This window comes from Homo sapiens, chromosome 18 (assembly GCF_000001405.40).
Source record: "Homo sapiens chromosome 18, GRCh38.p14 Primary Assembly".
Classification (NCBI taxonomy): domain Eukaryota; kingdom Metazoa; phylum Chordata; class Mammalia; order Primates; family Hominidae; genus Homo; species Homo sapiens.
The window spans coordinates 63,420,597-63,434,329 of record NC_000018.10 but is presented as its reverse complement, the minus strand read 5'-3'; the positions used below and the strand labels follow the sequence as shown (position 1 = coordinate 63,434,329).

At 43.6% G+C, this 13,733-nt stretch overlaps 1 protein-coding gene across 1 annotated transcript in view, besides 2 other annotated features; it reads left to right on the top strand.

Moving 5' to 3' along the window:
• Positions 6,014-7,213: an enhancer, noted in NCBI's record as "BRD4-independent group 4 enhancer chr18:61094350-61095549 (GRCh37/hg19 assembly coordinates)". NCBI's record gives its function as "activates an origin of replication core promoter dependent on BRD2, P300/CBP, MED14 and CDK7 cofactors, and independent of BRD4, by STARR-seq in HCT116 cells {active_cell/tissue: HCT116}" and the evidence as "EXISTENCE:reporter gene assay evidence [ECO:0000049][PMID:35650434]".
• Positions 11,687-11,986: an enhancer, noted in NCBI's record as "active region_13468". NCBI's record gives its function as "activates an Ori minimal core promoter by ATAC-STARR-seq in GM12878 lymphoblastoid cells {active_cell/tissue: GM12878}" and the evidence as "EXISTENCE:reporter gene assay evidence [ECO:0000049][PMID:35858748]".
• VPS4B (vacuolar protein sorting 4 homolog B) overlaps positions 11,854-13,733 on the top strand; it is a 33,287-nt gene continuing 31,407 nt past the window's right edge. Inside the window, exon 1 of the mRNA NM_004869.4 lies at positions 11,854-12,097. Coding sequence (NP_004860.2) covers positions 12,071-12,097 — 27 coding nt within the window. The 5' untranslated portion in view covers positions 11,854-12,070. The remainder of the gene's footprint in view (positions 12,098-13,733) is intronic.

Below are 13,733 nucleotides of genomic sequence, written 5' to 3'. Positions count from 1 at the left end.
TACTACAGCATTTTAATAACCTGTGAATGCCTAATCATAAGACTATATGAGAGGCTGGGTGTGGTGGCTCACACTTGTAATCCCACCACTTTGGGAGGCTGAGGTGGGCGGATCATGAGGTCAGCAGTTCGAGACCAGCCTGACCAACATGGTGAAACCCTGTCTCTACCAAAAATACAAAAATTAGCCGGGCATGATGGTGCGCACCTGTAATCCCAGTTCTCAGGAGGCTGGGGCAGGAGAATTGCTTGAACCTGGGAGTCGGAGGTTGCAGTGAGCCAAGACTGTGCCACTGCACTCCCGCCTGAGCAAGAGAGCGAGACTCCATCTCAAAAAAACAAAAACAAAAAAAACCAGACTATATGACAGGCACTTGTGATTAATACTGGAATCCACTGTTTCTCATATGATTTTTGCAGACCCAATTTGCATCTTTACAAAATCTATGACAAATTTGTTTTTCAGACTGCAACTAGTGGTCATTCACATGTTACTGAGTGTGTTTTGCATGATACTCTTTGGCCCAATGCTTTGTTGTGCTAGGTTAGGTAAGCTACAGAATTCTCCAAGAGGACCAGGGGCGGAGGATGGAATTTTCCAATGAAAAACACAGCCATTTTGCAACTTCGAAAATATCACTGGCCAAGAATTGCCCTTGGGAATAGTTTGTCTGGCATAGAAGAGCTTATTTTCCCAGGACAACCTTAGGATATAATTTGGTAATGAGATCATTTGGCAACCTTGAGGTTTAATACAGTGAAATTAAATAATTGAATTGGCTGTGGTTTTTAACTTACTCCTCCAAGGTGGAATTTGGCCAAGATTATGAGTAAACATTTGGGCTTCCAAGACTTCCATTTTGGAATTACGATTTGAATAATATGAAAAGACAACTCTCTTTGGTAGCACCGAGTGCCTTTACATGAATAAGTAAATTCTTTCATTGTATCCAGTTTCTTCTCTAGGCATAATTCAGGCCCAGCCCTTTCCATGATCACTGAAACCAACATCTCTCACTGCTTGTTTATAACTTATAAGCCGTAAAATGTATTTATCATTCGTTTTGACCCATAAAGACTGCCTTCGGTATATATCTGCTTTATTTTTTCAGTCGTTTTAGAAGTTTTCAAGAAGGGGCCATGTTTGACTTCTGTCTGGGACTCATTTCTCTTAAACATCAAATTTAAGTGCTGCATACCTGACAGAGTCTCAACTAACACTATCTGACCAAGTGATTGAAAACCATTATTGGTTCTAACACAGCTGTGCCATGAATTCTATCGTCTCTTCTTTGAGTCCCAGGGTTCACATCTATTTACACATATAAATAAGAATTCTATCCCATGTTTTGATTTCAAAGCCCAACATTATTACAGCTAAAGCATAAATAGGAGTATTGAATGTCTTATGTACTTAAAATATTGACCTTCAAGTGCCCTGAAACAGCAACTTCTAATAAAACATTGTTGAAGTTTGGCAATTTTTGGTTTTTCATAGGGAAACTGATAAATTACAAAGAAGGTAACCAGCTGATTTTCAATCTTAAGGTTCCAATTGGGGTGACCTTTTTCAGCGGCCCCCAGTCCTGTTTCCTTACTTCCTACTACCCAGAGTATTACCCTAATCTGTTACTCAAAAATTTACCTAAGGGCCGTTTACTAAAAGTTTAGCTAGTAATTAAATCATAAGGCTTCTCTGTGTGTTCCACACAAAACCACAACCACAGCTTATTTTTTTCCTGACAGTTATATTCTTTTTGTTTTTATAGCCAATTTTTTTTAGATGTTTTTTATTTTCTTTTTTCTTTTTTTTTCCAGACAGGGTCTCACTCTGTTGCCCAGGCTGTAGTGCAGTGCCATGATCTTGGCTCACTGCAACCTCCACCTCCCAGGCTCAAGCGATTCTTCAGCCTCAGCCTCCTGAATAACTGGGATCACAGGTATGCACCACCACGCCTGGCTAATTTTTGTATTTTTTGCAGAGGTGGGGTTTCACCATGTTGCCCAAACTGGTCTCAAACTCCTGAGCTCAAAGCAATCCGCACCCCACTCGGCCTCCGAAAGTGCTGGGATTATAGGCATGAGCCACTGCACCCAGCCATGACAGTTATATTCTTTTTAAAAATGGCTGCAGTATCAAGAAATGATATAAAGTTATGCACTTTGAAAAGGAAGAAAAGAGAGATGGAAGCAAAGCTTAAGGTCTCAGGAAAGATTTGCGTGAAGTTGATACAAATGAGCTTGTAAAAAGTGAAGGACCTGAGCATGGTGCTGCACACCTCTCATCCCTCCTACTTGGGAGGCTGAGGCAGGAGGATGGCTTGAGCACAGGAGTTCCAGGCTACAGTGAGATATGATCTATGTTCGTACCACTGCACTCTAGCCTGGTGACAGAGTAAGAGAGCATTATACAATTTTCAGGAAAAAAAATTACTAAACAAACATTATAGGCATCATATTTGAGCCCTCTCTGATACATAATTCCTACTCTTATGATGTCTTCACTTATTTCTGCTTAATCTTGTTGACTTGATTTAGCAATCAAATCGGACAATGAACAACTAATGTAGACTATAATTCCTGGGAAAATATGCAGTTAGACAATGATATGCAAAATTCCTTTGCTCATGTAGCCAATCATTAGCCTGATGATGGCATTGTTGCTATTTAGGAGATTGTACCATTTGGTGCTGGGGGGACTCCTGAAATTGAACCTAAATTCTCCTGAAACTAGTCCATGAGAAATAAAGAGGTGGATTTTTGGAATAAAAATGATTCCACTCCAATACTCTCACCCTAGATCTGCGTGTTGATTTAGTGACAGCAATCTTGGCACTCCAAATTTTGCCAATCCAAAAGACAACTGGAATGAGTTACTCTGGAGAAGAGGCACTCAGTGGACAATAAGAGCTTGTAGATCCAGATGAATTTTGCTGCTGGAATATGTATTGGTCAGCATATTTCCAAGATATGGAAAACTAATTCCTCTTTTCTAAACCAAATGCTTCCCCTCCATACAATGTCCCAAGGCAGTGCTTTACCTTTCTTTATAAGCATCTGCCTTTGGTCACTCCTCTTTTTTATTATCTATTGTTGATATCTAAATAAATGCAACAGTTGTCTTAGTCTTATAAAATGTAAATTACATATTCACATCTATATAGCACCAACAAAAATTTTATAGTTGCTTGTGAGCATAGCATTTAGAATATGAAATCTTACACATTTCTCTTATGTTAAGAGCAGAATATTAATTTTTCCTATCTCCTTTATAGAGATGTGTTCTGAAATATTACTGTAGCAGATACACCCCAGTAAGTCATACCTCTGTGTAATTTCCTTCTCCTTGAGTGCAGGCAGAACCCGTGACTTGCTTCAAACCAATAGAATATGGCAAAGGTGAAAGGATTTTGTAGATGTAATTAAGGCACCTAAGTAGTTGATTTTGAATTCATCAAAAGGATGATTATCCTCAGTGAGTCCTACCTAGTCAGGTGAGCCCTTTAAAGAGGGTATGAGCTTTCCCTAAAGTAAGAGACTTGAAGCAGCAGAAACTCTGCGTGTGTGTGCATGTGTGTGCGTGTGTGTGTGTGTGTGTGTGTGTGTGTGTGTGGCTTTCAAGAAGCAGGTTATCAGCTGTCATGAATTCTACAGCTCCAGGGAAATGAATTCTGACAACAATCATAGGCAGTTGGAAGCATATCCATCCCTAGTTGAGCCTACTGATGAAAATGCATCCCAGCCTACACCTTGATCTCAGCCTTGTGAGACCTTGAGCACACAACATAGCTAAGCTGGGCCTGGCTTCTCGATCCACAGAAACTGTGAGACAATAAAAGTATGTCGTTTTAAGCCACTGAGTTTGTGCTAATTTGTTATGCAGTAATAGAAAACTAATATAATCATATTTCATGTGTTAAATGATTCTTCATAAGACACTAGAAGGATTTTCTTTAAACTTTGGGAGAATATAAGGATGTCTATTCTTGACACTTTTAACTTTGTATGGGAAAGAGGCAAAGGTATCATTGTTTGCAGAAGTTTTCATCATTTGCCTAGAAACCCTCAGAGAACAGGTAGATGATCTATTAGAAACAAAGTGTCTGCCAAAATCAACCTGCATATATTCATGGTCTCCTGTATATAAACCATAATCTGCTAGAAAATATGGGAAGAAAATATATTACTTGTGATAGCAACAATAGCACAGTGAAATTCCTAGAGATAAATCCAAATCAAATGTTCAGAAACCATGTGAAGAAAAATATAAAACACTGCTAAGAAGCATACAAGAAACCGGGTGCCATGACTCATGCCTATAATCCCAGCACTTTGGGAGGCTGAGGTGGGCAGATCAGGAGGTCAGGAGTTCAAGACCAGCCTCACCAACATGGTGAAACCCCGTCTCTATTAAAAATACAAAAATTAGCCAGGAATGGTGGTGCATGCCTGTAGTCCCAGCTATTCAGGAGGCTGAGGTAGGAGAATAGCTTGAACCAGGGAGGTGGAGGTTGCAGTGAGCCAAGATCACCCCACTGCACTCCAGCCTGGGTGACAGAGCGAGACCTGTCAAAAAAAAAAGCATACAAGAAGACTTGAAGAAAGACGTATCATGATTTTTAAACCTGAGGGAAACTCATTTCTATAACGATGTGTCCATCTACTCTGAATTAATATATCAATTCAATTACAAAATAAATAAATGTTTTAGGTGGAATTTGACAAATAATACTAAAATTCATGTGGAAAAGTAATGTAAGAAAAATCTGAACTATTCTGAAAATTTTTGATAGCAAACATTTAATGAGTGTTAACTATGTTTTGAGCCCAATTCTGTGATGTTCTAATCTCATTTAATTCTCATGTAGCCCCAGTAGACAGAGAGTAATACCACCCCCATTTTACAGATGCAGAAACAGCAGTTTAGAGAGATTGAGTAATTGCCTACTATGTGCTAGAGTCAAGATTCTGAAGGTGGCGTGGTGGCTCATGCCTGTAATCCCAGTACTCTGGGAGGCTGAAGCAGACAGATCACCTGAGGTCAGGATTTCGAGAACAGCCTGGTCAACATGGTGAAGCCCCGTCTCTACTAAAAATACAATATATTAGCTGGGCGTGGTGGCGGGCACCTGTAGTCTCAGCTACTTGGGAGGCTGAGGCAGGAGAATCGCTTGAACCCAGGAGGCAGAGGTTGCAGTGAGCTGAGATCGCATCATTACACTCCAGCCTGGGCAACAAGAGCAAAACTCCATCTCAAAAAATAAAAAATAAAAATTGAAGCAAGCATTCTGATATCAGAAACTGAGCCCTTAACTAGTGTTGCATTCTGCTTAGAAGAAATTGGGCAGTCTCACAAGATACTGAAATGTATTATAAAGCCATTGTAATAAGTTTTGTTGGAGTAAGAATAGGTGGTTAAAAGGAATAGTTAAAACATCATCAAGAATTCAGACAAATCCTTGTGAGAAAATGGTACACAATAAGGGCTGCCCTTTCAAATGAGTGAAGAAAAGATGAATGTTAACTAAATAATATTGGAACAATTGGCTACTCATTTGGAATAAATAAAACACCAAAATAAATTCCAGACAAGTCAAAGATTTAGATGCAATAGTGAAACCCTGAACACACTGGAAGAAGATAAAGGTATGATGTTGTTGTTTTAAATAATCTACTAGTGGGTAAGCTCTTTCTCAACACAGCAAAAAAGAAAAAGAATAATAAATTTTCATGCCAAAAAAGTAATGACCCAAATACTAACAGGTAAAATATGTGCAACACATACAACAGAAGAATACCTTGTTTTATATGCTTTTATAAAGCATATAAATCCATAAATCCACATCCACAGACTCAACCAACTGCAGGTGAAAATATGAGTAAAAAGAAGGCCAGGCACGATGGCTCATGCCTGTAATCCCAGCACTCTGGGAAGCTGAGGCGGGCTGATCACAAGGTCAGGAGTTCGAGACCAGCCTGGCCAATATGGTGAAACCCCGTCTCTACTAAAAAATACAAAAATTAGCTGGGTGTGGTGGTTTGCACCTGTAGTCCCAGCTACTCGGGAGTCTGAGGCAGGAGAATCGCTTGAACCCGGGAAGCAGAGGTTGCAGTGAGCCAAGATCTCGCCACTGCACTGCAGCCTGAGCGACAGAGCAAGACTCTGTCTCAAAAAATAAAAAATAAAATAAAATAAAATAAAAACAAGATGGGCCAGGCACAGTGGCTCACGCCTGTAATCCCCAGCACTTTGGGAGGCCGAGGTGGGCGGATCACCTGAGGTAAGAAGTTCGAGACCAGCCTGGCCAATATGGTGAAACCCCATCTCTACTAAAAACACAAAATTACCAGGGTGCAGCTAAAAAAACTTCTTTCTTCTGTTTTTTTATTCTAGCCTGCAAACTTCTTGAGGGCAGACCCGTCGTCTTTTCTTCTGTGCTAATGCCTTATGTCATGTTCACCCTTATATGACTAGCAATGAGGAATTGCTGCTTCATCCCCACGCCCTCCATCACATGGCTGAATGAATGACATTGATGGGTTGATTCCCACACCTCCTTATCAGTCCACAAGCTGGCTGTGGCTTCATATGAATAAAATGAATAGCAATAAGTGAGAAAGGGCTGGGCCTTCAAGGTAGCTGAGCACATTCAGAAAGGAATGTAACCTGATGGGCTCAACCAGCTTCCTGCCTGACAACTGCCTGAGTCACTTTCATGGGACTCATATGTTTCGGGTCAGGGAGGAAGCTGAAAACTCAACAAGTAGAGACTTGACTTCTGGGTGCACATGAGGGGACGACCTTAATATTAATATTATGCATGTCCTTTAACATGGTCTGAGTGAAATGAATTCAGTCCTGGGTGGTCTGCATGTGAGATCCTATCGAAGGCTGAATACACAAACACCACCTGCCACCCCACTGACCTTCCTAGTTTCTGAAGTCCTTGATCACAGCAGGGAAACTCCATTTTGTTCAACAAACCTTAGCTATTTAAGAACACACCCTCTTTGTACTTGTAGGTGGTAAGGCAGGGGGAGTAGGTTGTAAATGGAATAAAATGAAGTCTTAGCCCTTGGGGATTTTATCATCGAGAAAAGTAGAACACTGTGCTAGTAAGATCAACAATTTTTGAGCATCTGCTCTGCACCAGGCACTGTGTTAGGCACTTGGCATGTGTGATTTAAGGGCAATTCAAGGTCCAAAGTGTGATGAGAGCTCAGAGAGATTTCAGAAGTTTCCTGAAGAAGTGACATTGGAACTGACACTTGAGGAATAGTATGATTTTAACAGGTTGAATTGGTGAAAGCAATGGAAGGAGCCAGGATTTTTTTTTTTTTCTCGAGATGGAGTTCTCCTCTTGTTGCCCAGGCTGGAGTTCAATGGCATGATCTCAGGTCATTGCAACCTCCCCCTCCCTTGTTCAAGCCATTCTCCTGCCTCAGCCTCCCGAATAGCTGGGATTACCGGCCCCCGCCACCATGCCCGGCTAATTTTTGTATTTTTAGTAGAGACAGGGTTTCACCATGTTGGCCAGACTGGTCTCAAACTCCTGACCTCAGGCGATCCACCCACCTTGGGCTCCCAAAGTGCCGAGATTACAGGTGTGAGCCACACCAGGCCAGAAGCAAGAATCTATTCTTCAAAGCCCAAGAGGCAAGGAACGGGGGCTGCACTGCAGGAACTGGGAATATCCCTTTTGGCTCTGCATCCCTTGTTTTCTAAAATGAAACACTTGCAGGAACCTCCCATTTGATCTTACTGCCTCCTCTCTCTTTCTGGTGTATCCTAAAAGGACTGTCAGATCCACCTTCATGAAACCAACATCTGACCAAATCACAACTCTACCAAGAAGGAAGACAGGAAGACAGAAAAGCAGGAGGTAGTGACAGAATGAAGAGGGAAGCTTTCAACATTATCTTACAGAATAATGTCCAAACTCCTTATTCCAAGCCTCTAACTGGCAGTGCCAGTTGGTGTATTTTTAGCTTCATCTCCTGCCACTCCAACCCCACAGTGCCTCTGCTTCCTACATTCCAGGGATCCCTCAGAGCAGGTACTTTATTCTTCCGCGCCTTTATTTCTGCTTTTCCTTCTGCCTGAAATGGCCTGCACTCCGTCAAAATCAGATTAAGATTTTAAACTTCAGTTTAAGTGAACTTTCCCTAAGACATCCCTAACCACTCATTCAAAATTAAGCCTTCTCTCTCCTGTGGTCCCACAGGACTTCCTGCCTCTATCCTAGCACTTGTCACCCTGGAGTCAGAAGACCTGGGTCAAACTCCAGCTCTGCCATATAAAAGCTGAATGAATTGGGGGGGATTTCTACTGATACCTCTGAGGCTGTTTCCCTTTTTCTTCTTCTTCTTCTTTTTTTTTTTTTTTTTTTTTTTGAGATGGAGTCTTGCTCTGTTGCCAGGCTGGAGTGCAGTGGCACGATCTTGGCTCACTGCAACCTCTGCCTCCTGAGTTGAAGTGATTCTCATGCCTCAGCCTCCCGAGTAGTTGGGATTATTGGCATGTGCCACCACACCCAGCTAGTTTTTGTATTTTTAGTAGAGATGGCATTTCACCATATTGGCCAGGATGGTCTCAATCTCCTGACCTCATGATCTGCCAGTCTCGGCCTTCCAAAATGCTGGAATTACAGGTGTGAGCCACCGCGCCTGGCCTGTTTCCTCTTTTGTAAAAATGGGATACTTAAGATTTACCTTGTCGTATACAATAAGATAATGTATGCAAAACTCTTACACATGTAACATATTTACATTTTAAATATGTAAACGGTTAAAAGTTTCTACTCCACTAAAATGTAAGGTCCCAGGGAATAGGAATTTTAAAATGAAAAATTTTCCTTTTAAAATAATACTTACAGGCTGGGTGTGGTGGTTCCCGCCTGTAATCCCAGCACATCGGGTGGCTGAGGCAGGCAGATCACTTGAGGACAGGAGTTCGAGACCAGCCTGGACAAAATGGCAAAACCCCATCTCTACAAAAACACAAAAAATTTGCCAAGCATGGTGGCACACGCCTGTCATCCTAGCTACTCGGGAGGCTGAGGCAGGAGAATTGTTATGGGAGGTGGAGGATGCAGTGAGCCGAGATTGTGCCACTGCTCTCCAGCCTGGGTGACAGAGCGAGACTTTGTCTCAAAAAAAATAAAAATAAATACACAAATAAAAATTAAAAATAAACTCTTACAGAATAGTTGCAAAGGTATACAGAGAATTCCCATATATTCTTCACCCAATTTCCCCTACTGTTAACATCTTAAATAACCATGGTACATTTATCAACAATAAGAAATTAACATTGATAAAATACTATTAGCTAAACTGCAGACTTTATTCTCATTCTTACAACAGTTTTTCAACTCATGGCCCTTTTCTGTTTCAGGATCCAATCCAGAATCCCATACTGCATTTAGTTGTCATCTTCTTAGTCTCTACAATCTGTGACAGTTCCTCAGTCTTTCCTTGTCTTTTATGATCTTGACATTTTTGAGGAGCACTGGTTATTTTGTAGAAGTAGAAAAACCCTCCATATGAATTTTTCTGATGTTTTCTCATGATTAGATTGAGGTTACAGGTTTGGGAAGCATACCACAGAGCTAATGTGCCCTTCTCCACATCAGGGGTTCCATCATAACAACATGGCTTATTACTGGTGATAAAAGAGGGGTTTTTTGTTTGTTTGTTTGTTTTTACCGATTCTCACTCTGTTGCCCAGGCTGAAGTGCGGTGGTGTGATCTTGGCTCACTGCAATCTCTGCCTCCTGGGTTCTAGTGATTCTCCTGCTTCACCCTCCCAAGTAGCTGGAGTTACATGCAGGCACCATCACGCCTGGCTAATTTTTGTTTGTTTGTTTTGAGACAGAGTTTCGCTCTGTAGCCCAGGCTGGAGTGCTGTGGTGCGATCTCAGCTCACCACAACCTCTGCCTCCTAGGTCCCGGTTCAAGAAATTCTCCTGCCTCAGCCTCCCGAGTAGCTGGGATTACAGGAACGCACCACCATGCCCAGCTAATTTTTGTATTTTTAGTAGAGACAGGGTTTCACCATGTTGGCCAGGCGGGTCTTGAACTGCTGACCTCAGGTGATCGCCCGCCTTGGCCTCCCAAAGTGCTGGGATTACAGGCGTGACTCACCACACCCGGCCTAATTTTTGTATTTTTAGTAGAGATGGAGTTTCACCATGTTGGCCAGGCTGGTCTCGAACTCCTGACCTCAAGTGATCCACCCACCTCGGCCTCCCAAAGTGCTGGGATTACAGGCGTGAGTCACCACGCCCGGCCCATCTTTGCTTAAATTATAAACTCAGTTTCTCCCACAGTTAGTTCAGCCTATGCTCAGGAATGTACAAGGACAGCTTGGAGGTTAAAAGTAAGATGGAGTTGGTTAAGTTAGATCTCTTTCACTGTCTCAGTCATCATTTTGCGAAGGCAAATTCACAAGTGGGAAGAAAGGACGGGTAGATGCAGGGCAGAGAGAGGGCTCTGTGCTTCGAGCCTGGATGATACAGATTTGGCAATACTATTCTAAGGAGAGACCAGAGAAAGAAGTTTAGGGTAGAAGGTAATTAATTAGAGTATGTTGAATTTGTCTTGCAGAAAAACCCTGTGAAGGAAACCTCTGGGAGGCTGTTGTAAATGCTGGGCTGGGGATGGGGTGGGTCTAGAGATCCAGATTTGAAGCAATTTCTAGTCTATTGATAGCTGAAGCTCAAGAAGAGAGTTAGATGAGCAGAGGTGAAGAGAGAAGAGGACATCAGACTCTTGAGTAAATTCAGCTTAAGCTCAGGGAGGAGTAAGAAAGGGAGACAGTGAAGGAAGCAGATAAGGAATATTGGGAAGCTGGACAAACAAGAACTGGGTAGTTGACAATACCAATGAAGAGGGAAGAGGAGAGGACTTTAATTCTTTCGGAGATGCCAGATGAGAAAAAATTAAGAAATGAGTGAGAAAAAAATGATGGAGTGATTAAACATCTATGTTGCTTTCCTTTGAGAATGTTAACTATGAAAAGAAGAAAAGGGTGGTGGTGGCTGCAAACCATAGGAAGGCTGAGAAAGGGTTTTACTTTGGTTCTGCCTCTAATCCCTGACGCATTCAACCTCCTCAAGCCATTTGCTTGTAAACATAACTGGCATAAATAATATCTGATATGCCCATTTTACAGGACAAGTGCTTCCCTCTCAGACCACATACTCGAGGACAGCGGCCGTCCACGCCTTATTTACATTCATCTTCCCAACACAACAGTCATTTGGAAGATGCCGAGTGGCGTGGGAAGAACAAGCGGGAACGAGCGCCGACCCGCCCGCGGCCTGACTGCTAGCGCACCGCTGTGCGGCCGCCTCACCGCGCACTCCCTCCTGAATTATTCACCACCGAGACGAGGACGGTGATCGCCCCCATTCCACAGAGGACACGGAGTGAAGGCGCAGTCACAGGCCCAAAGCCCCCAGTCGGCGGGTCTTGGAAATGGACGACTTTTTCACTCAAAAGCTACGAGGCAACAAAGCATGTGGATGAGGAGGGAAGGGAGCCGGGGCCAATAATTCATCTCAAAGTAAAAGACGTCCCCGGGGGTGGGGAACAAACAAACAACAAAACCCGGCTCTGTGCTTCCGCGCTTGCGCTCTCCTAGGTCTGCCAGGCTGCCGCCCGCGCCTAGGCCAGAGTCTCAGTGCGCCTGCGCCGAGCCCGACTTCCGCCAGGGCTCGATTGGCTTCCAGGCTACTTCTCCCGGCCCAGGGAGGGCCTGCGCTGTGGCTAGAGAAGGGAGTCTGGTGACTGGGTGCGCGTGCTGATGACGAAATCGGAAGTGCCCGGAGCAGAGGCGGGACCAGAACCTAGAGGGCCTCGGGATTGCGGAAGTTTGGTGGGGAGGGTCGGAGCTCTGGTGGAGAGAGTGTTGTCTAAAACAAGTTCCGGAAGGGAGGCTGCCCTTCGCGGTCCGAGAACCACCGGCCTCCCCAGTTTGAGGGCTGTTACCCCGTGCGCGCTTCGACGTTGCTGCTGTTGGCTCTCCTCGCCCCTCGTTCCCTTGGGAACCGCCTGGGAACTCCGCCATGTCATCCACTTCGCCCAACCTCCAGGTATCATTGCTCATCTCCCGTCCCCCTAGGGAGCTGGGATCGAGGGGAGGCGCGAGAAGCGGGTGGGGGGCGGGGAGAAGGGAGGAAGCGGCCGCGCCTGTGGTCGAGGCGCAGGAGGGCGGGTCCGGGGACCTGCAGCAGGTGGGAGAGGGGCCCGTTTTCCAACGGAAAGGTCGTTTCTGGCCCGCTCTTGGGGTCTCCCGAGCTACTGGCTTTGTGAGACTCTTCACTTTTGTTGACACTTCCCGCTTCCAAACCAGCCAAGATCTGGGCAGGTTTCTCCAATCAGGGTTAACGGAGAAAGAAAGAACGTAATTTTTGCAAAGCCCTATTCTGGACCAGTTGAAGATAGGGTGGTCATAGTTCGGTCTTAGTTTCTCAAGCTGACAGCAGACCCCTTCATTCTGAGCTGTCAGGTGAGTAGAGATATGGGAACAGACCAAGAATCTGAGATTACAGCCAGCCTGCATGCAATCTCCGTGAAGTCATTGAATTTATGTGCACACTCCTGTGGCTCCCAGATGGTAGTGTGTAAGATCGAGGAGTATTCTTAAACCTCTGTGTGGCTCCACTTCCCCTCCTCTACCGCAATGAGCACAGTGTTTTGTACACAAATCATGGAATCTTAAGATTTTAGGCTTAATCGTTAGTCCTCTGTGGAATGGAATTCGTTCAGAAAAGAAATTTCTTAATGTAATGGTGTCTCCCATCCCCAGAATGGATCTAGGGCTTCAGTGGCGTTTAGAATGTAATGTGGCTTAATGTAGAGGACTCCCAGTCCAGTAAGTCAATAAGGCACAAAAGAGTAGCCTAAAATACTTGTATTGAGTCCCCGTCGTGGACTTCCGGTAGTTTGTTGAACAAGCAGTTATTGGAGTGCCTGACAGAGGCATCAAAGGTAATGGAAGAACTCCTTAACCCATGATAATTGATTCTGAAGAAAGACCACTCAAAGTAGACCCACTTAAACAGAGATTAAAATTTCACACACACATACACAAAAAGAGTGGGAAAGGAGGCTTGCTTGGGACTTTCATCTTGAAAATCGACCTAGAAGATTATTAAAATAATTGTTATCTTTCACAAAATATTATAATTGTATAATTGCAACAATGACTCATTTTGTGGAATAAGTCAAGTGTTGATTTGTCTGTGTTTTTTTCCTTTTCTTTTCTTTCTTTTTTTTTTTTTTTTTGAGACGGAGTCTTGCACGGTCGCCCAGGCTTGAGTGCAGTGGCGTGATTTCAGCTCACTACAACCTCCACCTCCCAGGTTCAAGCGATTCTCTTGCCTCAGCCTCCTGAGTACCTGGGACTACAGGCACCCACCACCACGCCCAGCTAATTTTTGTATTTTTAGTAGTAGAGATGAGGTTTCACCATGTTGGCCCAGGCTGGCCTCTTGACCTCAGGTGATCCGCCTACCTCAGCCTCCCAAAGTGCTGGGATTACAGGCGTGAGTCACCGTGCCCGGATGACTATCTTTTTCACCAAGGTTGTATTAAACTAAGATTCAGCAATCTTCACTTGAGTTTTTTGTAGCTTTTTGTAGTCCTATTTGGAAAGGTTCTTTTTGGTAAACGTATTTGGAAAAAGCGTTGGTCATTTGGTAAAAGTATTTTTCCCTTGAGTATTAA